The sequence below is a fragment of the Homo sapiens genome, chromosome 12 (assembly GCF_000001405.40).
Source record: "Homo sapiens chromosome 12, GRCh38.p14 Primary Assembly".
NCBI lineage: Eukaryota > Metazoa > Chordata > Mammalia > Primates > Hominidae > Homo > Homo sapiens.
The window spans coordinates 132,353,506-132,378,940 of NC_000012.12; the positions used below are offsets into that span (position 1 = coordinate 132,353,506).

General features: G+C 56.7%; 1 annotated feature.

The window, feature by feature from the left end:
• Window positions 19,387-19,536: a silencer, noted in NCBI's record as "fragment chr12:132949478-132949627 (GRCh37/hg19 assembly coordinates)". NCBI's record gives its function as "represses an EF-1alpha promoter that drives an FKBP-Casp9 reporter gene in an ReSE screen in K562 erythroleukemia cells {active_cell/tissue: K562}" and the evidence as "EXISTENCE:reporter gene assay evidence [ECO:0000049][PMID:32094911]".

Consider the following 25,435-nt stretch of genomic DNA (forward strand, 5'->3'; position numbering starts at 1 on the left):
GGGGGCCCTTCCTGCACAGCTCGGGGATCCCAGCCCTCGGCTGCCACTCCCGACCCAGAGCCCAGGCCCAGCCTCTGCCCCAACCCCGCCAAGCCTGTGTGCACGCCTGCCAGGCCCCTCCCCCACCGTCCCTTCCTTCGAGGCCCTGAGCGCTCGCTCACTGCAGGCTTCTGGCAGGAGATGCTGCAAGTGGCGGGGATGGGCAGGCACCACATTTCCCCCACCCTGGAAGAAACCGCTTCTCAGTGGACGGGCTCAAACCCCCTCCTCCTGCCACCATCCCCTCACTGAAGGTCCCAGTGCTTTTTGGAAGGAGGGAAGAGTCGGGGGCAGAAAAGGAGTCAATCAGTGAATGCACACCTGCAAGAAGGCATGACGGGCTGGGCGCTGGGGGCTGGCGCAGACCCACCTGTGTTGTTCTGATTAATCTCCTCCACAGCTCAACATCATCTGGAGAGACAGGAAGGATTACAGAAAATTGGCTTTTCTGTCTGGCTTCCCCCAAGGGAGGCGGTCATGGGCAGGGTCCGTGGCCCCGTTCCACCAGCAGTGATTACAGCAGTAATCCCGAATTTTGATCAGGAAGTGGCCCTGGCCCTGAAATGACTTTTTGCTAAGCCTCCCTCCCGTGTCCGGGGCAGCTGCACGCATGGCACCTCGCCGTTGCACTGAGACGTGATTGGTCCATTAGCACGGGGGTAGGAACGGCTTCCCCTGTGTCTGCCTCAAATGTCTCGTGAAGAGTGTGGCGGGACTTTCCTGGCACCGCCACTGCCTCCGTCAGTCCACAGAGAGTTGCGGGGGTCAGAATATGGCGTGACAAGGGCTGGGCAGGGGTGGTCGGGGCCCAGCTGTCTCCAGGTTGCAGAGGGGCAGACGGTGTCCCGCGAGGAGGCTTCCAGCTCCGCCATCAGCACAGCAGTGAACACGAAGCCAGCAGTGAAGGAATGGCCAGGCAGCCGGGAGGCCTTGCCTCTGCAGTTCCACGTGGGTGTGCAGCGGGACTGTATTCCCACGGGGCTGGGCCCTGACAGGCGTGGGCGTCCCTGAAGGCCTGGCGCTCCAGAATTCTTTCCACCTGTCTTCACGCCCTGCTCCCAGCCTCTGGCTGAGTGACGAGGATTCAGAGGGTCAGAAGGGGACACACGACAGAGGAGGAGGCTGGTCACTCAGAGACCCCTGGGCCACCAGGGACCGCGCCCTGCCCCCGCCGACCAGCCACGTGGCTGTGCTGGATGACGACGTGGCCTCTTGATGCCGAGGGCGAACATTTTGTATGAAGTTGCTGAGATTAGCAGCGGCGTCCGCCCCAGCAGCTAGCGTTTCCCCCACGTGCCGGCGATGTCGTCCTCCGACTCAATACTTGGCAGCTTGCTCAGGGCTTTTTGTAGCAAGTAACAGGAAACTCAGCTCTCGGGGCTGGAGCAGAGCCCGTGGGATTCACAGCCCCTGAGTGCAGGTGCAGGGTGGTGAGATGGCGGCACAGCTTGCTCAAGGCCCCAGAGCCTGGGGAGCCTGGTCTCTGGTCTCTCCCTCCTTCCGCAGAGGCCCCTCTGGCGGGTGCCTCGTCCGCCAGGCCCACCTGCATGGGGTGGAAGGGTGCACCTGGCGGAGACCCGTGGGGCCGTCCCTTCCCCGGCCGGAGCTCGCAGGGAGGCCCTGGCACCATGGGCTCTGGTGTGCCCAGGGGACAGGAGCTCTTACTGTCCAGGCCAAGGCACACAGACCCTTCAGCTCAGCCAGCGTCATATGAGGGAGGCAGCGGTGTCTCCAAGCCAAGGTGGGGTCTCTCACTGGAGAACAATGGGGGGATCTTGGCTGGTTCCCTGAACATGGGGTGCCAGAGCCAGGGATGCGGGTACCGTGGAGAACTGAGCTTCTGCAGCTGCTGCGACCTTGCCCAGCCCTCGCACCCTCTTCCTTAGGGACCCCACCCTTTGGGAAAACACCCACCCCTGCTCCACCGCACGCCGGGGGGCAGCCTCCACGTGGAATCAGCACGCCTGCGGACCAGCCAGCCGGCCAGGACAGGGAATGAGGCGATACTCCAGTGACAGATCCCATGAGCACGGGGACCACAGAGCTGCCGGCCTTTCCCGCCTGGGGAGGGAAAAGCTCGTAGGACCCGGCGCTGGGGAGCTCGTGGACCCCTTCGAGTCTGGAGCTGGGCCACGGGCTCCTGCCCTTGATTGCATGACACCCTTCTAGCACATTCCTCCTTTCGCCAAAGTGAGTTCAGATAGATTTTCTGTCACTTGCAACCAAAGCAAACCTGAAAAATGCAGCGTTGTCTGGAGCCTGAGTCGCTTCCTTCTCCTTTGTGAGGAACTTCAGGTTTATCCGAAGTGACTTAGACACGACCAGGCTCCAGCCTCCCGCGTGGTTTGAAGCCAGGCCCAGGCCCAGGGACTCCTGAGGTCTGGTCTCAGTGGTGCTGTCGCGGCCTCCAGACCCTCCCACCCTGAGCCCACCAGTCCCCACCCATTGAAGTGGCGGCCAGTGGAAAACCACAGAGGCGGCAGCCCTCAGTCCGTCTCACGTAAACTTCTTCAGTTGCTTCAGGAAGCACAGCAACTGAAGTCTAACGTATCCTCACCAGGGGCAGATACTGTCGGAATGTCCCCTCTTCTCCTGAGTATTCAAAAGCAGATGGAAGCCGGTGCCGCCCCCCGCCCCTACCACCTCAGAGACTCTGGAGTCCCCACTGCTCAGGGCTCCAAGTCCCCTGTACCCACCAGGGCCTTCTCCAACCCAGCTGAGGTTCTGAGACAGGTGTGGCTGCCTTTGACAGACATGGGGATTGGGTTGCAATCTGGGCGGTGGCCCCACATGCAGAACATCCGCTTTGGGAGTAGATTTGGGAGTGCTATCTGTTCTGCAGCCCCCCAGTGGGGCAGCTCCCTCCTCCATCCATGCGTGAGCCAGCCCTGGTGCGAATCCACCCAAGACCCCTGCCCGGCCCCAGCAGAAGGACAGTCTTGGCCCAACCTCATCTCTGCCGGGCCCCAAACTGTGCGGGAGGCTGGAGCCTGGTCGTGTCTAAGTCACTTCGGATAAACCTGAAGTTCCTCACAAAGGAGAAGGAAGCGACTCGGGCTCCAGACAACGCTGCATTTTTCAGGTTTGCTTTGGTTGCAAGTGACAGAAAATCTACCTGAACTCACTTTGGCGAAACGAGGAATGCACTTGGGCCCAGGCAGGGCTCCAGATGCTGCCCGGCTGAGTGTGCCCGTTTCACACCCTGTGCAGAAGAAGGGATGCTGGCGGCTTGACGTGAGCTCTGCCATCATCCTCCCCTCCTTCTGGGTTCCTGGGAGGCACCTGAGTCGGAGGAGGGAGGCAGCAGCTTCCTGGCCCTGCAGAGAGTGACTCACGCAGCTCGGCGGGGGACGCACCCGCCTCCGAGGAGCTGGCTCCGCCGTCCCAGCCCCACCATCTGGCGCTTCTGACTCGGATCTGTTGGTGTTTACTTCCTGAAACTTTGCATTCCCAGGGTCTGTGCCCGGGAGCAACTGTGTGTGGAGGATCACACTTCCTTTCATATGTTCCAGCGACACAGAACAGCTTGCTTTCAGGCCGTTGCAAAACACAAACCAGAAAAAGAAAAAGAGTCTTCCAAGCCCTCTTCCCATGAAGGCAGAAAGCCGAGACACTCGGGGCAAAAAGCCGAGACACTCAGGGGGCAAAAAGCCGAGACACTCGGGGGGCAGAAAGTGCTCTGCGAGGTGGGGCACCTATGGCAGGTGTGGTCCTGGGAATGCCAGGCAGGTGCAGGGCAGGTAGCAGGTGCAGAACCTTCCATGTAGCGTGAGCCAGGCCCAGGCTGGCAGAGCCCACTCCTGGAACCCCCACGGCCGTCGGACTTGGGTCCCTGCTCCGTGCATCTGGGTAGCCCAGACCTCCTGGAATTCTTGAGGCAGGGTGAGCTGGGGTGAGTGTGGGAAAGAATCAACTCTCGTGCAGAAGAAACACTACGCAGGAGCCCATGGGAACCAAATGAACGGGGGATTCGAGGCCTTCAGCGCAAGTAGAGGACGTGGCAATGGTCACGGCTCCCTCTGGCCCCATGCGCTGTCAGGGTGTTGGTGAGTGGTAGGAACCCACCTGAACCTGCCTAATTAGGAGGCGCGTATAAACCCTCAAGATCTAACTCTGGGGAGATGGCAGTGGAAGCTGGAAGCTCGCGTCCCACCTGGCTGCTCTCTCCCTTTGCCAGCCCCATCCGCTCCCTGCTGCCTCTGTGCCCTGCTGCAGGAATTGCGGCTGCAGGAAGCCCCCCGCCCTGCGCTCAGTGAGGGGACCTCTGTGGCACCGTCTGAGGGCCGTCCTCCCACACCCACCCACCTGCTCTTCACCTTCCTGGCAGTGATGTGGCCCAGGCACGGGGCTCCCAGAATGAAGACAGCATTTCCACCCTCCCGTGCAGCGAGGGGTGGCTGTGTGACTGCACCCAGCCATCGGACTTGAGGAGTGGGAGGAGGCTGCCGGCGATGCTGGCTCTGGCTGGAGCCACCAGGGGGGAGCCGCCCAGACGCGTCCACGGGCAGCCGGGAGAGCTGGGTGCAGGCGGCAGGGGCTGGTGCCATACAGAGCAGAGCCCCCACGTGGCCACAGAGATGACGGCTGCCTGGGAATCTGTATTTTAACCAAATCGTCTCTGGTTCCAAGGGAAGAGGCCCCAGAGGGCACTGACTGGCCTCGCTTGGGTTGGCGCCCTGTGAGGTCAGGCCCCATGGTCAGGAACTCAACGTGGTCCCTCAGAGCAGCAACAGCAAGGGGACTGCACAGTGGAGGCTGCGCAGCGTGGGGCGGACTTGGCGAGGAGGCTCTCGGGCAAGTTTCTGGCCTGAGAAATGGAGAAGCTGGAGAAATGGTCATCTTAGTCTTCATCCCCCTCCACGCTCACAGCAGCCAAGGCCTCCAGGCTCTGGACTGAACCTGGCCGCACCTGCAACCCCTCTCTCTGGGAGCTCCGTCCCGCACTGCCTGCCTCATGCAGGGCCCGGCTGTCTACGGGGATGTTTGGGGGAAGCTGCCAGGTTTCGCATCACCCCTGAGTGAGCCAGGGATGCTTCGTCTATAGTAGGAGCCACGGGAGGCAGGTGGTCAGCCCAGGTGTGGCCGTCAGGCACTGAAACCCACTGTGTTCCCTCAGGGTCTCTGTCCCTGCCCCCAGCAGCAGAACCGCATCCATCCTGTGGCCTCCACAGCCGCCTCTGAGAGTCTCATGGACGTGGACAGCAGCTTGTCCTCAGCCTCCACAGCCACCTCTGCAAGTTCCGTGGACGTGGACAGCAGCCACCTCTGTGAGTCCCGTGGACGTGGACAGCAGCCGTCTCTGTGAGTCCCGTGGACGTGGACAGCAGCCATCTCTGTGAGTCCCGTGCACGTGGACAGCAGCCGCCTCTGTGAGTCTCATCTGCGAGTCCTGTGGATGTGGACAGCAGCCGCCTCTGCGAGTCCCGTGGACGTGGACAGCAGCCGTCTCTGCGAGTCCCGTGGATGTGGACAGCAGCCGCCTCTGCGAGTCCCGTGGACGTGGACAGCAGCCGCCTCTGTGAGTCCCGTGGACGTGGACAGCAGCCGCCTCTGTGAGTCCCGTGGACGTGGACAGCAGCCGCCTCTGTGAGTCTCATCTGCGAGTCCCGTGGATGTGGACAGCAGCCGCCTCTGCGAGTCCCGTGGACGTGGACAGCAGCCGTCTCTGCGAGTCCCGTGGATGTGGACAGCAGCCGCCTCTGTGAGTCCCGTGGATGTGGACAGCAGCCGCCTCTGTGAGTCCCGTGGACGTGGACAGCAGCCGTCTCTGTGAGTCCCGTGGATGTGGACAGCAGCCGCCTCTGTGAGTCTCATCTGCGAGTCCCGTGGACGTGGACAGCAGCCGCCTCTGCGAGTCCCGTGGACGTGGACAGCAGCCGCCTCTGCGAGTCCCGTGGACGTGGACAGCAGCCGCCTCTGCGAGTCCCGTGGACGTGGACAGCAGCCGCCTCTGCGAGTCCCGTGGACGTGGACAGCAGCCGCCTCTGTGAGTCTCGTGGACATGGACAGCAGCTCGTTCTCGGCCCAGTGTGCTCAGGCTTCACTGTCATGGGTGGACGTGGGCCCTGTGCAGCCTCACACTCAGCTGCCCTCACCCTAAGCCCCCTCTGTCCTCGAGGGACCCCCAACAGTCCTAGCGGCCTCTGCAGCTTTGGGAATAAAGGCCTGCCCTCGCCTGTATCCATGAAGCCCCTGCCACATCTGCGGCTCACAGCCTCCTTCTCCCCCCCGTCTCACCACGTTCTAACCTCTGGTCCTCTCCGAGTTTCTCGGACGGGCCAGTCCCTCTCCCCCCTTGGGGTTTGCTGTCCCCTCCATCGGGGTCACTGCCCTCATCTTCCCAACCTCAGCCCCCACCCCAGGATGGGTCAGGATGGCCTGGCTTTCTCTTGGCCACCGTGTTCCTTCTTTCACACTCAGCTGAGTTTGCAGAAATGCCATGGTGTGATGACGTGATTCACGTCTGTCTTTCCGTCTAGACTGGAAACCCCCTGGGGGACTGAGATGTACGTCAACCATGGTGTCCCCAGAGGAGAAGGGCCGTCAACCAGGGTGTCCCCAGAGGAGAAGGGCCGTCAACCACAGTGTCCCCAGAGGAGAAGGGCGGCCAGGTCCCCTGGGGACTGAGATGTGTGTCAACCACGGTGTCTTCAGAGGAGAAGGGCGGCCGGGTCCCCGGAGGACACGGGTAATGCAGAGGCATCTCCCCAGCTCGCCCAGAAACTGGTCCAGCACCATGATCTGCACCCACATCAGAGGCACGTGGGGTAGGGAGTACAGTGCTGCCCGGAGCTCCATCCACAGCCTGCTCTGGGCTGGGTGTACGGCTGTTTTCCATTCAACCCAAATGGACCCTCGGAGGAGCCAGAAGGCCGGACTTGAGGAGGATTTGTCAGACCAGACAGCTTTAGTGTCACCTAAGACAAAGTACTTTATTTGTTTCCATTATCTTTGAGCTTTTGTCCTTCTGGCTATTGATCTTCCCTTGTAATGAAGCCCATAATTAAGCTACTAGGATGCTGCGGCCAGGCTTAATGAACAGACTACTGCACAGCTCAGCCAAGGAGCCCACTGCATGAAGGAGACACACCGCCACCTCCATTTCCTGACTGTCTGTGACCCGTGTGGTCTGAAGGACAAAGGCGGGAAGGGCTGGGATGCAGAGGGGCCCTCGGGGCCTCCCTGGGATGTCCTCATCGGCCTCAGGCAGGAGCCACCCCCATCCCAGAGCCAGACACACAGAAGGGCCTGGCCCCACCCCTCCCGAGCTTATGGAAAGGGGAGATTTGGACGTAGAGGTTGGTGCAGGGAGATGGAGATGGCCCAGGAGGGAGGCCTGGGGCAGACTCCCCACCCCGACAGCCTCCGAGGAACCAGTGACACCTTGATCGTGGCTTTGCTGCCTCCGGAACGGTGAGAAAATACGTCTGCGTGAATGGCAGCCTGTAATCATCCTCACGGCCTCCACAGAAAGGGGGTCCTGCCACAGCTGACACTGGGAACACGCTGCGCCACGGCCTCCGACGCGCTGGCCTCAGGAGGGAAAGGTGTAGAGCAGGTGCAGGGAACGCGCTGGAAGGGGCTGCACAGCCCTGGGGGTCAGGCTGGGCCAGGGCTGGGGGGGTGGCGGGGATGCCACAGCTGGAATGCCACAATGGCCACGCAGTTCCCGGCCCGATGCTCCCTCCTTCCACAGCGCCCTCCACAGCCCCTCCGCGGCGTTTCTTGGGATGGGCGGCCTCTGTGATGCCCTGAGCGGCTGGGATTCTGAGGAAGCGCCGGAGATGCTCCCAGCATGACCTTCCCCACCCTCCCTCCTAGTCCCAGCTACACACACGCCACCTCTCCCCACGAGGCGTTCTGAAGGCCGTGCTCCCCAAGGCGGCCCTGTTGGACCGTTGCCGGGCCTTTGGGCACCCACATCTCACATTTGCAAGCCCACAGCTACAGAGGCTTCCCTCCGCCCCACGGGGAGACCTGGGCACCCCCCACTGCGACACGACCTTCTGTGTAGCGGGCGTCGGGTCACTCAGTGTGCGGGTGAAGGCAGCCCAGGGGAGAGGAGCCAGCAGGGAGCTTGGCCAGGTGGGAACAGGTCCGGGCGGGGCTGCGTGGGTTGGGCCAAAGTCCAGACCTGAGCTGTCCCCAGGACACAGCCCAGGAGAGCAGCTTGTGCAGTGAACCCACCCCAGGCAGCGGGGACGCTCCGCCGCCCGCACCAGCGGCCCGCACACTCACGCCTCGCTGTGCTGTCTGCGCCCTCCATCACCCACACCAGCGGCCCGCACACTCACGCCTCGCTGTGCTGTCTGCCCTCCATCACCCACACCAGCGGCCCGCACACTCACGCCTCGCTGTGCTGTCTGCCCTCCATCACCCGCACCAGCGGCCCGCACACTCACGCCTCGCTGTGCTGTCTGCCCTCCATCACCCACACCAGCGGCCCGCACACTCACGCCTCGCTGTGCTGTCTGCGCCCTCCATCACCCACACCAGCGGCCCGCACACTCACGCCTCGCTGTGCTGTCTGCGCCCTCCGCCCGCACCAATGGCCCGCACACTCACGCCTCGCTGTGCTGTCTGCCCTCCATCACCCGCACCAGCGGCCCGCACACTCACGCCTCGCTGTGCTGTCTGCCCTCCATCACCCGCACCAGCGGCCCGCACACTCACGCCTCGCTGTGCTGTCTGCCCTCCATCACCCGCACCAGCGGCCCGCACACTCACGCCTCGCTGTGCTGTCTGCGCCCTCCGCCCGCACCAATGGCCCGCACACTCACGCCTCGCTGTGCTGTCTGCCCTCCATCACCCGCACCAGCGGCCCGCACACTCACGCCTCGCTGTGCTGTCTGCCCTCCATCACCCGCACCAGCGGCCCGCACACTCACGCCTCGCTGTGCTGTCTGCCCTCCATCACCCGCACCAGCGGCCCGCACACTCACGCCTCGCTGTGCTGTCTGCCCTCCATCACCCGCACCAGCGGCCCGCACACTCACGCCTCGCTGTGCTGTCTGCCCTCCATCACCCGCACCAGCGGCCCGCACACTCACACCTCGCTGTGCTGTCTGCGCTCTGCAGATTCTTCAAGGGTTCCGGAGCTTTCCGCAGGAAGAGGCAGCACATCAGTCTAAGGTGCGACTGCAAATTACAAGGTAAATACATGACCGCTTTCCTCCTCAAATTATGGGTAATTACACCTGGACTAAGTGTAATAATTACAGACAAAACGCTGAGGATGTGAACCCCACTCCTTTGAGAGCTCAGACTGGGACCAGTCCCGTGTGCTGTCCAATGCGGGCTCTGCTCCCTGGGGAGAATTCACACCAGGACCAGTCACACATGATGTCCAATGCCAGCTCCACTCCCCAGGGAATGAGGTTAGTGGATTGATGCCTCAGTTTCCTTTTCTGTAGAATGTCTGCAATAATCCAAGCTTCCTCGAGGTGGGTGGTGAGGATTAAATAAATGCAGAGCTGGTACCCACACAGAGGACTCTGGGAGCATTGAAACGCCGCTGTGTGATGCACGATGGATGCCCGTCGTTACGTGTCTTCACACGATCGCGTGTCATTATGCATTTGTCAAAACCCACAGGATGTGCAGCACGGGGGCCCCGACACGAATGTGGACTTTAGTTACTGAACGCGTGTGATGGCCCGCCTGTGGTAAGAGGTGCGCCTCGCCAGCATAACGTGTTAATTACAGGGGACGCTGGCGGTGGGGGAGGGGCTCTGCACTTTCTGCTCGATTTCCTGTAACCTAAACCGCTCTAAAAAACAAACACGTGTCATAACTTTTTTAATGAACTCAAAATGGCCATTTTCACTTGTGTGCAGCCGCCTTCTCCACCCGGGCGTGTCTCGTGCCCTCCCTGCCTGGCCCTTGTGATGGAGGGCTGGGCAGCTTGACCTCTTGACCTCTTGACCTCTTGGCCCCTTGCTCCCTTGGTCCCTTGACCTCTTGACCTGTCCCCTCTGCTCTGTTCTCTCCCCGGGCTGTGGCAGTAGCCATCAGCAGTCCACTGGGCCCACCCTCCCCTTTGCTTCCTAGCAGATCCGATTTGGTGTGGAGTTTAGCAGGACAGCTTTAGAAACCACACTCCCCAGATGCCCTTGCAGTGACGTGTGACCTTGTGTCGACGCATGACCTCGTGTCAAGTCCCTGGGGATTTCTGGGAGAGGCTCAGGCTTTCTGACTTAGCCATTGCCCCGTTCCCTCTCCCTGTTGGAATGTGGGTGTGATGCTTGGAGGGGTGGCAGCCACTTTGTGGCCGTGAGGTCAAGCGACAGATGGTCGGGCGGGGGTGAGTCTGAGATCCCACTGACGTCCTCAGGAGTTGCTTCTTCCCAACGCTGCCTCTCTGTCCCCCTGTTTGTTTAAATTGCCAAAGTTGGGCTTCTGTTAGATGCAGTTGACCATAATCCCAAATGATGGGTGCTGCTTTGGGGACCAGCCCCCACAGGTCCACGAGGTGCATTACGTGGGCAGATCTCCCTGTCCCCATGCTGTGGCCTCAGTGTCCCAGTTCCTGGCCAGCAGCCAGATCAGTGACAAAGGACCCAATGACTCAGACTCCAGCCATACCTGAGCCACCGTCAGGACAGGCTTTGGCCAGGATGGAGAGGAAGGAGCCACCCGTTGCAGCCTGGCCTGGAAACTGCCCGGCTCAGCCCGAGGCCACCATCTCTGCTCATCCAAGAGGCATTCAGGGGTCGGGAGGTCCACAGAGTGGGAGAGGGTCCCACGTCTCAGAGCGGCGCCTGGCACCACCAGGCTCATCCTTGCCTCGGGCAATGGGGCAGGGTGAGCGGCTTCTGTGGCCACCACATCTGTGCAAATGGTGCCCACAGACGGAATTCAGGCCACTTCCTCTTAATTTGCTTAATTTAAACAAGAGGGAACCTTTGTATTTCTCTACATGTGTGCCTCTCAGCCTCCTGCTGGCCCAGAAGCCCAGTGACATCACAAGTTCCTGGCTCAGCTGCCTCCCTTGTTGTCAGATGAAATCTCTTTTTCCAAAGCAGCTCATGGGGGTGCTTTGACCTTGAGCCTTTGAGGCCAGTTCTGCAAAGAGGACTTCCAAAAACAGTGGCCAGTGAGGAACTAGGCTCAGAAGGTACCGTTGGCAGGGGTGAGGCCCTCCTACCTTCTTCCGCAGCAGGCAGGGACAGGGGCGGCGTCCAGGATCACTCACAGGCAGGGACGAGGGCAGTGTCCAGGGTCACTCACAGGCGGGGGCGAGGGCAGTGTCCAGGGTCACTCACAGGCGGGGACGAGGGCAGTGTCCAGGGCCACTCACAGGCGGGGGCGAGGGCAGTGTCCAGGGCCACTCACAGGCGGGGGCGAGGGCAGTGTCCAGGGTCACTCACAGGCGGGGGCGAGGGCAGTGTCCAGGGTCACTCACAGGCGGGGGCGAGGGCAGTGTCCAGGGTCACTCACAGGCGGGGGCGAGGGCAGTGTCCAGGGTCACTCACAGGCGGGGGCGAGGGCAGTGTCCAGGGTCACTCACAGGCGGGGGCGAGGGCAGTGTCCAGGGCCACTCACAGGCGGGGGCGAGGGCAGTGTCCAGGGTCACTCACAGGCTGAGGACAAGGCGGTGTCCAGGGTCACTCACAGGCTGAGGACAAGGCGGTGTCCAGGGTCACTCACAGGCTGAGGACAAGGCGGTGTCCAGGGTCACTCACAGGCTGAGGACAAGGTGGTGTCCAGGGTCACTCACAGGCAGTGGCATAGCCAAACCCTAATGCCAGGAGCTGTTAGGACTGAGGGAAGAATTTGCAAGTGAGTCTGTGGAGGGGCCCAGAAAGCCTCCGGCAGTGCCTGGGATTCCACCGTGTTTGCCGTATTCTTTGTGGATGCCCAAAGCATTGCCTGCAAAGGCTGAGATATGGGTCTTGTGCCAGCCACTCCTGGAGAGGGAGGAAGGAGAGCTCTGGCTTTGTTTGCTGAGGCCCATGGCACCTTGACCGAAAAGCCGACCCAGGCACCACACGGCCATTCTCCCTTTAGATAATAAGCCTCAGTTCCCAGTTTCTGGCTCGGGTGCCACGCAGCCACGCACCACGTAAATAATAAGCCTCAGCCCTGGGTTTCTGGCCCAGGTGCCACGTGGCCACGCGCCCTGTAGATAAGAAGCCTCAGCTCTGGGTTTCTGGCCCAGGTGCCACGGAGCCACGCGCCCTGTAGATAATAACCCTTAGCTCTGGGTTTCTAGCCCAGGTGCCACGCGGCCACGCGCCCTGTAGATAAGAAGCCTCAGCTCTGGGTTTCTGGCCCAGGTGCCACGGAGCCACGCGCCCTGTAGATAATAACCCTTAGCTCTGGGTTTCTGGCCCAGGTGCCACGCGGCCACGCGCCCTGTAGATAAGAAGCCTCAGCTCTGGGTTTCTGGCCCAGGTGCCACGGAGCCACGCGCCCTGTAGATAATAACCCTTAGCTCTGGGTTTCTAGCCCAGGTGCCACGCGGCCATGTGCCCTGTAGATAATAAGCCTCAGCCCTGGGTTTCTGGCCCAGGTGCCACGTGGCCACGCGCCCTGTAGATAATAACCCTTAGCTCTGGGTTTCTAGCCCAGGTGCCACGCGGCCATGTGCCCTGTAGATAAGAAGTCTCGGCTCTGGGCTGAGTGTAAAAATCACCGATGAATGCTCGGTCCCTGCACCCGTCCGGATGCTATCAGCTGTAACAGAAAACCCAGCTGAAAAGCAACTGAAAGGATAAGAGGCAGCTCATTCCTCATAGGGACTCCATGGCAGCTGCCCACCCCACAGCCCCCTCCTGTGTCACCATCCCAGAGCCCCAGGACCCAGCCCTTCCTCGTGTTCCTTTGTGAGAGTGAGGACAACTCCCTGCAGCCCCTCAGACCCTCCCAGGGTCCCGCTGTCAGGGCGGCCTGGCTGGTTCAGGTCTCTCCAACCATGGTAAGGCTGACTGAATTCCACCGTGGGCTGAGGCCAATGGGGCGTCACGCAGGGGCTGGGGAGGGGCCGCCTTCCCTAAGCACACGGCTGCTGCCCGGAGCCTGAACAAATCTGGCCTTGGTGAGCCAGGGAGGGGTTGCCTAGGCAACCAGCAGTGTCGGCCCCTTCTCAAGCAACTGCTGCTCTGCTTGGCTGGACACAGCCTCACAGGTGCGAGAGCAGGAGGGAATCGCCCCGTGGAAGGGGACTGGGCGAGCCTGTAGTTGTGCCATGAGGGCAGGTGCCTTCCTGGGCACCCAGGGCCAAGCCCCGCCAGCCAGCACTGCTACCAGGCACTCTTTCCATCTCAAACACCAGAATCTGCACAAGCTCCTGGTGGCAGGCCCCGGGGGGTGGCGTCCACTTTCCCTGGATGCCCAGCACACTCAATTTCCACCATCTGCGACCAAGAAGAATGAGGGCAGGACATCCTGTTTGTTCACCCTGGTCTGCCCAGGAATACAGCAAGGAGTGATTAGAGAAGAGTTTGCTTGTAAATACCCACTGAACAGGTGCACACATGCACACTCACGCATATCCACGCACACACACTCATGCAACACACAATGCATGCACACGTGTGCACGCACACACATGCCTACATATATGAGCACAGGCCTGCATGCGTATCCTTGTACACATACCTGTAAACAGCTCATGCACCACACCACATTTAGATCCAGCCCCACAAAAGAAGAAGCTGATTTATGTGTCCAATTATAAATATAATTACATCTCTGACGCCATTAGCACGGCCATTCTGTGAATGCACAGCGCACCGCATGGCAGGCAGGGATGAGGTTCATGAGCGCAGATGAACCAGCACTGGGAATTTTAATTTTTATTTTACTTGAAATTCAACACCAGATATAACAGCGACGCCTGGATGGAACGCGCTTCCACATTCCATCACAACAGAAGCGATCATTTTTAGCAGACGCCCCGTAGGCGGCAGGCCCAAAGGTTGTGCAACTGAGGGAGGGGAAAGAGGCCACAAGCCCAGTCCTCCGGCACAGCCCCTGGCGGGAGATCCTAGGAACGCAGAGGGAAGTTGTCAGACCCAGGGCAAAGGCGGGAGCGGACAGGCTGAGCAATGGTCGAGAGATGTTTCTGGACTTGGCCGCATCCACCAGCTCCCAGCAGAGGGAGGAGGAGGAGCTGAGCCTCTCGGGCACCACCCCAGGATGCCTAGAACCGTGTCCCGTGGCTCAACAGAGTGGACTCCAGGAGTCAGGGCCACGGCCATGAGGTCTCATCGAGGTCTCAGCCCTCCTCAGAGCAGCCATGACCTCCGACCCCACAGCCCCCCACCTTCCCACTCCCTGTTCTCCCGTCACGGGGTTGCTCTGTTTCCTGCCTGAGTTCTGGGGTGACAAGGACAGGAGGGGATGCTGTGTCAGCACGCAAGCCCTTTACTCCATTCTCCCCGGTCACAGCAGAGAAAACCGACCAGGCGTTGGGAGAAACAGCAATGCCCAGCGACTCCCAGTGACCCCAGCAACGCCCAGAGACCCCCAGCGACTCCCAGTGACCCCAGCAACGCCCAGAGACCCCCAGCGACCCCAGCGACCCCCAGTGACCCCGAGCACGGACCCGGCACGGCTCTTCCATCCACCGCTGGCTTTGTCTGCTCAGCACCCGTCTCTCCTCTCTTGGAAACTAAACTCGATTCTAGATTTCCCTCCCTAGAATCTATCCCTCCCTCCTCAGCCCTCGATTTCAGTATAAGATGGTTAATTTTAGATGTCAATTTGGCCAGGCCATGGTTTTTGGCTAAGACCAGTCTAAATGTTATGAAGGTAAGTTTTAGATGCAATTAATTTTTTTTTTTTTTTTTGAGATGGAGTCTTGCTCTGTCACCCAGGCTGGAGGGCAATAGCACAGTCTTGGCTCACTGCAGCCTCCACCTCCCAGGTTCAAGCAATTCTTCTGCCTCAGCCTCCTGAGTAGCTGGGTTTACAGGCGCCCACCACCACACCCAGATAATTTTTTGTATTTTTGGTAGAGACGGGGTTTCACTATTTGGCCAGGATGGTCTCGATCTTTTGACCTTGTGATCTGCCCACCTCGGCCTCCTAAAGTGCCGGGATAACAGGCGTGAGCCACCGCACCCGGCAGCAATTAATTATTTTTAATTGTGGCAAAACATGCGTGACATAAGGTTTGCAGTTTTAACCATTTTTAACCATTCTTAAAACTGCATCTTCAGCAGCAGGAGGCACATTCACGTTGCTGTGCAGCCATCACCAGCACCCACCTCCAGAACCTTCCCATCTTCCCAAACGGAAACCCTGTCCCCATGAAGCGCAAACTCCCCACTGCCCTCCCCCGGCTCTGGCAACCTCTGTTCTACTTTCTCTAAATCTGATGACTCTGGGGACCTCATGTAAGTGGAATCACTGGCTCAGTTCACTTCGCCTAACGTCCTTGAGGTCCATCCACCTTGCAGCCTGCATTAGAATTTCCTTCCTTTTTAAGGCGGAATAATGTCCCATTGTATGGGTAGACTGCATTGTGTTTATCTGTTCACGTCAATGGACATCTGGGCTGTGTTCACCTGTTGTCTGTTGTGAATAATGTTGTATGAACATGGCCGTGCAAATATCTCTTTGAGACCTTGCCTTCAATTTTTTTTTTCTTGAGACAGAGACTTGCTCTGTTGCCCAGGCTGGAGTGCAGTGGTGTGATCTCAGATCACTGCAACCTCCGCCTCCCGGGTTCAAGCCATTCTCCTGCCTCAGCCTCCTGAGTAGCTGGGATTACAGGAGCCCGCCACCATGACCGGCTAATTTTTTTGTATTTTTATAGAGACGGGGTTTCACCATGTTGGCCAGGCTAGTCTCGAACTCCTGACCTCAGGTGATCCGCCCGCCTCGGCCTCTCACGGTGCTGGGATTACAGGCGTGAGCCTCCGCACCCGGCCGTTGCCTTTAACTATTTAGGGTGTCTACCCAGAGAGGAATTGCTGATCCTACAGTAGCTCTAGTTTTAATTTTTCGAGGACCTTCCACACTCTCTTCCGCAGTAGCTACGCCACTCTCCTTCCCACCAGCAACGCACGAGGATTCCAGCTTCTCCGCATCTTCACCAGCACTTGTACTTCCTGGTTTTCGGCAGTCATCTGACTAGGTGTGCGAGGTGGTTTCTCACTGCGGTTTGATCTGCACGCCCCTAACGATGAGTGATGTGGAGCATCTTTCCATGGGTTTGTTGGCTTTGCAGAGCTTCTTTGGAGAAGATGTCTATGTCTCCATTTCCTCTTTGGAGTAATTTGTATTTTCCCAATTTTTAAATGTTTTGACATAGAATAATTGTATAATATTCAAGGGTTACATAGTGCTCTTTTGATACATATAACCCACACTGATCAGATTAATTAGCATATCCATTGTTGAATCAAGTTTGGCCTAAAGCTGCAACCTTACACATTTTAAGTTCGGCCTGAAGGTTTCTCCGTACATGGTGAACTGTAGCCTACATGGAGGTGCAAACAGACCGTCACCTACTCTCATGCCAATCACTGAGCTTTGGCCAGTCGCAGGTGGTCAACTGTTCAAACCGTGTTCAAATAAGACAAATGCCGAGCTGCCGCCAATCCAGCCATTTCTGTCCCTCGCTTCTGTTTTCTGTACATCACTTGCCTTTTCCCGTCCATAAATCTTCTTCTGCCACGTGGCTGCGCGGGAGTCTCCATACCTACTCTATTTGCAAATTGTTCTTTGCTCAATTACACTCTTTTAGATTTAATTTGGCTGAAGTTTCTTTTTTTAAACACCATTGTCTCAAACACTTATCATTTATTTCTGTTAGGAACATTAAATGTCCTTCCAGCTGTTTGAAACTATATAACATATGAACTCTGGTCATCCTGTAGTGCCATAGACACTCACACCTCCCCCCCACTGACTGGTAATTTTGTTTCCTTTAACAAATCTTTCCCTCTCCTTTCCCCTCCCCTTCCCACCATCCAGTATGTTCTGTTCTAATTTTTACTTCTTTGAGGTCAACATTTTTTAGCTTCCCCATGTGAGAACATGTGATATTTGTCTTTCTGTTCCTGGCTTATTTCATTTAACCTAATGTCCTCCAGTTCCATCCATGTTGCCACCAGTGACAGGACTCATTGTTTTTCATGGCTGAATAGTATTCTGCGGTGTGTGTGCCACACTTTCTTCATCAGTCATCTGCTGTCGGACACCCAGGTTGGTTCCATATCGTGGCTGCTGTGAATGGTGCCGCAGTCAACACAGGGTGAGGATGTCTCTCTGATGCACTGACTTCCTTCCCTTTGGATAAACACCTAGAAGTGGTTTCTGGATCGTGTCTGCAGTTTGTTTCCCGAGTAGCCTCCGTGCTGTTCTCCACAGCAGCTGTGTTCGTTCACCTTCCCACCAACAGGGCGGATTCCCTTTTCTCTGCATCCCTGCCAGCATTTGTTACTTCTTGTCGTTTTGATAATAGACCAGTTCTGACTGGTATAAGATGGTATCTCCTCATGGTTTTGATTTGCAGTTCCCTGATGGTTAGTGATGTTGAGCATTTTTTTATAGATCTGTTGACCATTTGCATGTCTTCTTTTGAGAAATATCTGTTCAGATCATTCGCCAATGTTTAAATCAAATTGTTGCTGTTTAATCTGGTTTTTTGCTGTTGAGTTGTTTGAGTTTCTTGTATGTTCTGGACATTAGCCCCTTGTCAGATGAGTAGTTGGCAAATATCTTCTCCCATTTGGTAGGTTGGCTTTTCACTCTCTTGATTGTTTCCCTCACTGTGCAGAAGCTTTTTAGTTTGACACAAACTCCCTCGCTGTGCAGAAGCTTTTTAGTTTGACATAAACTCCATGTGTTTATTTTTGCTTGTGTTGCCTGTGCTTTTGTGATCTTACTGATAAAATATTTTCCGGGCCAATGTCCTAAGGCATTCCCCCTTTGTTTCGTACTTTTGGGTCTTCTACTTATGTTTTTTATCCGTTTTGAGTTGATTTTTGTGTAGGGTGAGAGGTGGGGGTCTAGCTTCATTCTTCTGCACATGGATATCCAGGTTTTCCAGCACCTTTTATTGAAGAGGCTGTCCTTTCCCCCAATGGGTGCTCTTAGCACCTTTGTTAAAAATCAGTTAGTGCTAGATAGAGGGATTAATTTCTAGGTTATCTACTCTGTTGCATTGGTCTATGTATCTGTTTTTTTAACGCCAGTACCATGCTGTTTTGGTTACCACAGCTTTGTCATATATTCTGAGGTCTGGTTATGTGATTCCTCCAGCAGGCTTTTTTTTTTTTTCTTTTTAGATGGAGTTTCACTCTGTGGCCCAGGCTGGAGTGCAGTGGCACAATCTCAGCTCACTGCAACCTCTGCCTCTTAGGTTCAAGTGATTCTCCTGCCTCAGCTTCCTGAGCAGCTAGAATTGCAGGTGTGTGCCACCACATCCAACTAATTTTTGTACCAGCTTTGTTCTTTTTGCTGGGAATTGCTTGGGCTATTCTGTGTCCTTTGTGGTTAAGAATGTTAATATTAAGATTATTAAGATCTTTTTAATGTTAAGATTTTTTTTTCTATTTCTGTGAATAATGTCATGGGTATTTTGATAGGAATTGCATTGAATCTGTAGACTGCTTTGGGTAGTATGGCCATTTTAACAATATTAATTCTGACCCATGAGCATGGGATGTCTTTCCATTTGTTTGTATCGTCTTCAATTTCTTTTACATGATTATAGAGACTGAGAAGTCCCACAGGCTGTCTGCACGCTGGAGAAACAAGGAAGCTGGTATCATGTCTCAGTCCAAGTCTGAAGTCCTCGGAACCGGGGAAGGTAATGGTGTGACTCTGAGTCCAAGGCTGAAGGCGTGAGAACAAGGGGTGGCGGATGCTGGCCAAGCCCTGGGGGCCAAAGGCCAGGGAACCTGGAGTTCTGGTCTCCAAGGGCAGGAGAAGAAGGGCATTCCTGGCTGAGCACGGTGGCTCACGCCTGTAATCCCAGCACTTCGGGAGGCCGAGACAGGCAGATCATGAGGTCAGGAGATTGAGACCACCCTGGCTAACACAGTGAAACCCCGTCTGTACTAAAAATACAAAAATCAGCGGGGCGTGGTGGCGGGTGCCTGTAGTCCCAGCTACTCAGGAGGCTGAGGCAGGAGAATGGCGTGAACCCGGGAGGCGGAGCTTGCAGTGAGCTGAGATCGCACCACCACACTCCAGCCTGGGCGACAGAGCAAGACTCTGTCTCTAAAAATAAAAAATAAAATAAGAAGGGCATTCCTGCTCCAGGAGAGAGAGAGAGAAAGAGAGGGTGAGAGAGAGAGAAAGAGAGGGCGAGAAAGAGAGACAGGAAGGAGGAGGCAGGGAGAGGAGGAGAGAGAGAGAGAGAGAGAGAGAGAGAGAGAGGGAATTCACCTTTCCTCCACCTTTTCGTTCTATCTGGGCCCCCAGCCGACTGGATGGGCTAGGGTGGAGCTTCTCCACTGGATGGGCGAGGGTGGAGCTTCTCCACTGGATGGGCGAGGGTGGAGCTTCTCCACTGGATGGGCGAGGGTGGAGCTTCTCCACTGGATGGGCGAGGGTGGAGCTTCTCCACTGGATGGGCGAGGGTGGAGCTTCTCCACTCTGTCCACCAACTCAGGCATCACGCAGACACATGCAGTAAGAATGCTTCACCAGCGTTCGAGGTATCCCTTAACCCAGGCAAGTTGATACCCAAAATTAACCATCACAGCCACTGAGGTTTGGCAGTAGCTTTTCCCTGCAGCGACCCCCAGCCTAGGTTGACTCGTACCCTGAAACAGCGAGGGAAGAGCTCCACATCCAGCAGGAGGAGACTGGCTGGATAAATGCGGTGTGTTTAAACAATGGCTACCCCTCCGGCATTTAAATCATGTTATAAAAAGTATAATGTATACAGAATCTATTACGTTTTTAAAATGTTACAAACTCATGCCCAGTATGTGCTCGGTTTTGTAAAATCGAGGCGAGTTATGTGGAATGCGTAACCGAAATGTAAAGTGTGATTTTCATGGAGCTACAGCTTTAGAGACAACACTTATTTTCTTTTTTATGCTTCAGTTTATTTTACAAGTTATCTACAATAAACATCAATTACTGACATAATCAGAAAAAGTTTGCTTTATTTTTCTACATGCGAAAGCACAAAGAACAATAAACATGTCACAGATGTGGCACATTTGCGCACAACCCCATTTTTAACACCGAGGACACCCCCGTCTCTCTGCTCTGCCCAGCCAGGTCCAGCGTCCTTGAGCCAAATCTCTGCAAATGTTCCAGTCAGGACAGATTAAGTTTCACCATAAACCAGCAGCTCATCTTTATTTCTAGGCAATTTATTTAAGAGCCTCCTAAAATCTACTAACTTCCAGGCCGAAAATCATTTAAAATCAAATGAGTTTCCTCGCCGATAAAACTTGAGATCATCCTTCAGCTTTGGAGATAATAGAACTGAGCGGTCATTTCCTCCCCGCGCTGAGGGAGCTGAGTGATGGAGAGGCGGCATAGGTCCTCCGAGGAGGCCCCGTGAGCCCCATGGCTGTTTCCCAACGCCAGCGGAAGAGGGAGGTTAGAGGCTCCCTCTGCTGTTATCCTGCGGGTGGAGGAAGCCCTGAGCATCCCCTCCAGCCCCTGAGGCCTGAGTCCTGGGGGGCCCCCCGCCCCCGCCAGCCCAGCCTGGCGTCAATCCCGCTTATGCATAGCCCAGACCACCCCCTGCCCAGCGAGCTCCCCTGAGGCTCTTCCTCGTGGCAAAAGAGATTCTCAGAGCCCTCTGCAGAGTGCCAAGTGCGCAGGGAAGTCACAGCTGACCCGTCACCCCAGCCCCAACTGCTCAGTGCCCCAGACCTCTCACTGCGTGTGGCCCAGGCCCTGCAGAGTCTGCCCCACCCCCTCCAGCCTCCTTTCACACTTCCTCACTGCATCAGTTTGCCTTTGTAGCAATAATGCTTAGAAACAAATCACCCGGAAACTCTGGTTTCAACCCGAGTATGTATTTAGCTCACAAGCCGCAGGTCAGGGGTCAGGCTGGGCTCAGCAGGTGGCTCTTCTGTCCTCGCCGGGGTCACTCGGGACTCACTCACTCGTCTAGGGCTGCTTGGCTCTCGGCTGCCATCAGGCAGCTCTGTCCCATCCCTCGAGTGTGTCTCATTCTCCACCGGGGAGCCTAGACACCGCTCGGAGAGGGTGACAGGAAGAGCCAGCAGGTGCCTTCCCAGCCTCCGCCCGTGTCCCATCCCACGGCCAGACACAGAACAAAGGAACGGGAAAGAGACTCTAGTAGGGTGAGCAGCTGAGTCACATCACGGGGGTGGGAGACAGGTGGGTGAGAGCCAGGGGGACGAAGCAACCCCTCCCTCAGCGCCTGGGCTGGGACCCAGTGGCCACTACTGACCGAGGCCCGCCCTCCTCACAGCTCAGCGGGCAGCGCCACTGGCCCAGGCGGCCTCACCTCCCTCCTCTCCAGCCACACCTGCACCCAGGACAGTCGTCCCCTCCAGAGAAGCCCCCAAGAGCACCGCAGCCTGAGTCACAGCCTTTGACACACTCTGACACTTTCCTTCCCACAGCTGTCACAGTTTGGGACAATAAATGATTCCCCAGTGCATCAGCCCAGGATGGAGGCCGCAGGTGGACAGAGACCTTGACCATTGCATTCCGCCAGGTTGGACCTCCTGGCCCAGGGTGTGGCATGGCAGGTGCTCAGTGGACCCTGGCCGGCAGAACAAACAGCAGAGGTGCCATGGGGATGGCCTGGGGGACAGAGCAACCGATGGAATGCAGGCGATTTGCTATACGTGATTTACTCCTCACCTGAGGGGGCCGAGCCGCGGCCCTGGCACTGCTCCCTCCCTCCCTGGTGGAGGGCCCTGTCCTGAGGGTGAGGCCAACGCCTGCCCTCCCCCCACCCACCCAGCCTGGCCCATAGGGTGCACTCACCTCACCCCATCATGAAGGACTCAGGTCCAGGCCCCTGCTCCTATCTCCAGCCCTGCTTGTGAATTCTGCACGGCAAAGAGAGGGCCCTTCCTGACAGCACGGGCTCAGCCTCCAGGAAAACATGCTTGGGAGAAACTGAGTGATGTGGATGAATCTCGCTAGGCAAATCGACCATGATTATTCACTACAGCACCCCAGAGCAGTGCCCTCTGGATTCTCATTGTCATTGTGATACGAAAATACATTATTTTTAAAGACTGTTGAGTGAGTCAAACCCCAGCACTCTCATTAATGTTCCCAGGCTCAGAGAAGCAAACCCTGGAGAGCTTCATCCCCCCAGCTCTGCCTGCCTGAGGCTTAGGAAACGGCCAGGACAGGGGAGAGCCTGGGGGATGCGGATGCTGTGGTTGGCTCTGTCTGGCAGCGGCAAAGGCTCCAGGACTCTGCACAGAGCCCCAGACCTGGGGCCTCCCCAAGGAGTGAGGGACACCCCTCCGATTTCGAGAAATAAAACCTGCAGGGAATTCACACTGTTGTGGGAGACCCAGAGCCCAGCGCCCCGGGCAGGGGCCATACCCAGCTGCGTGTAGCTGAAACCTGATGAAATAGCCGCCCCGGGCAGGATCACACCCGGCTGCGCGTAGCTGAAACCTGATGGAATGGCGGCTGAACACCTGCTCCTCAGAGTGTGGCCCCGACCAGCTGTGTCTGCATCACTCAAGAGGCCCTCGGGAATGCAGAGCCCCAGGCCCCTCCAGAGCTGCTGAGCCTGAATCTTACCAGCGTCTTGTGTGTTTTGTCACAGTCCCCAGAGGATCTCTACTCACAGCAAGAAGACCACGGGGAACCCTGCATGGCTCAAGGCCATCACAGCTGAGTTCTCTGCAAGACGATGCCGCTGGTCTCTTCCTCATGTTGCAGGACGCAGCCCCAGCCATCAAGGTGCCAACAGGAAGAAAGGGGGACAGGGGGCAGGGAGAGGGAGAGCATCTGAGGAGAAACGTCCCTTTAAATCCCCATAGACCAGAATCCGTCCCGTGGCCACATCTAACTGCAAGGGACATTTCCAGCTGGGCACACGGCTGCCCTGAACAGAAGCAAGGTTTGGTAAGAAGCGAGGTAGAGGGGAGTCGCTGTGTGGCAGGCAAGGTCTGCTACACCAATACGCAAAGGGTGCACATGGTGGTTCCCCACCACCCCACGCCCACAGGAGTCCCCACCTGAGGCCGGAAGAGGCGACCAGTCTGTGGCAGACACCCGGAGGGAGGAGTCCAGAGCCACCCACATGACACCAGAGCAAAGGGGGTATCTGGAAAATTACACTCCAAATGCCAAGGTCAAGATCACCTGGACACTACAGGGGGAGTGAGGAAAGAGAGATGGAGAGAGACAAAGAGAGAGACCGAGAGAGAGGGAGACCGAGAGACAGGTAGACAGAGAGAGAGGGAGGGAGACAGAGAGAGAGAGACTGAGAGAGAGGGAGACCGAGAGAGAGGAAGACAGAGAGAGAGGGAGGGAGACAGAGAGAGAGGAAGGGAGACGGAGAGAGAGGGAGACAGAGAGAGAGGGAGGGAGACAGAGAGGAAGGGAGACAGAGAGAGAGGAAGGGAGACAGAGAGAGAGAGAGAGAGAGACAGAGAGAGATACAGAGAGACAGAGAGAGAGGGAGAGAAGGGGGAGAGAGAAAGAGACAGAGAGGAAGAGAGAGACAGAGAGAGAGGGAGGGAGACAGAGAGAGGGAGGGAGACGAGAGGGAGGGAGACAGAGAGAGAGGGAGGGAGACAGAGAGAGAGAGAGAGAGACAGAGAGAGAGGGAGAGAGAGAGAGACCGAGAGAGAGGTAGACAGAGAGACAGGTAGACAGAGAGAGAGGGAGGGAGACAGAGAGGGAGAGAGACAGAGAGAGAGGGAGAGAAGGGGGGAGAGAGAAAGAGACAAAGAGGAAGAGAGAGACAGACAGAGAGAGACAGAGAGAGAGGGAGAGAGAGAGAGAGACAGAGACAGAGAGAGAGAAACAGAGAGAGAGAGAGAGAGAGAGACAGAGACAGAGAGAGAGGGAGACAGGGAGAGAGAGAGAGAGAGACAGACACAGAGAGAGGGAGAGAAGGGGGGAGAGAGAAAGAGCCAGAGAGGAAGAGAGAGACAGAGAGAGGGGGAGAAAGAGAGAAAAAAAACAGAGAGACAGAGAGAGACACAGAGACAAAGAGAGAAGGAGACGAGAGAGACAGAGACAAAGAAGAAGGAGACACAGAGAGAGGGACAGAGAGAGAGGGAGAGAAGGGGGAGAGAGAAAGAGACAGAGAGGAAGAGAGAGACAGAGAGAGGGAGAGATAGGGAGGAAGAGAGAGAGATGGAGGGGGGAGAGATGGAGAGGGAGAGAGAGAGGGAGACAGAGAGGGACAGAGAGGGGGGGAGAGAGAGGGAGAGAAGGAGACAGAGAGAGGGAGAGAGAGAGGGACAGACAGAGAGACAGAAGGAGAGAGAGACAGAGAGAGGGAGAGATAGGGAGGGAGAGAGAGAGAGACAGAGAGATGGAGAGGGAGAGAGACGGGGGAGAGATGGAGAGGGAGAGAGAGAGGGACAGAGAGGGGGGAGAGAGAGGGAGAGAAGGGGGGAGAGAGAAAGAGCCAGAGAGGAAGAGAGAGACAGAGAGAGGGGGAGAAAGAGAGAAAAAAAACAGAGAGACAGAGAGAGACACAGAGACAAAGAGAGAAGGAGACGAGAGAGACAGAGACAAAGAAGAAGGAGACACAGAGAGAGGGACAGAGAGAGAGGGAGAGAAGGGGGAGAGAGAAAGAGACAGAGAGGAAGAGAGAGACAGAGAGAGGGAGAGATAGGGAGGAAGAGAGAGAGATGGAGGGGGGAGAGATGGAGAGGGAGAGAGAGAGGGAGACAGAGAGGGACAGAGAGGGGGGGAGAGAGAGGGAGAGAAGGAGACAGAGAGAGAGGGAGAGAGAGAGGGACAGACAGAGAGACAGAAGGAGAGAGAGACAGAGAGAGGGAGAGATAGGGAGGGAGAGAGAGAGAGACAGAGAGATGGAGAGGGAGAGAGACGGGGGAGAGATGGAGAGGGAGAGAGAGAGGGACAGAGAGGGGGGAGAGAGAGGGAGAGAGGGGGCAGAGATGGAGACGGGGAGAGACAGAGAACACATGCAAAATACAGGCAGAAGACAGAAACACAGGAAACCTAGTTCTAGGACCAAAGGAAGTTTTCTATAATTTTTTCATAGCAAAACAATTTCATAATAACCTCAGTTCAATAAAAATAAGAACTTAAAATAATAAAATGAATTCATATGAAGAGAGAGATTACAGATCTTAGGAAACAAATCAAGGACCAAAATAACACCATTAAGGTCCTAATAAAGAACCTAAAAGTGCTGAGAAATATAATAGCACCATTAAAAATCAATGTTTTAAGAATTCCGTATCCTACTTTTATTTGTAAAACAACCCTTTTCTTATTATAGAGTAATAGATACGCATTGTAGAATATTAGAAAA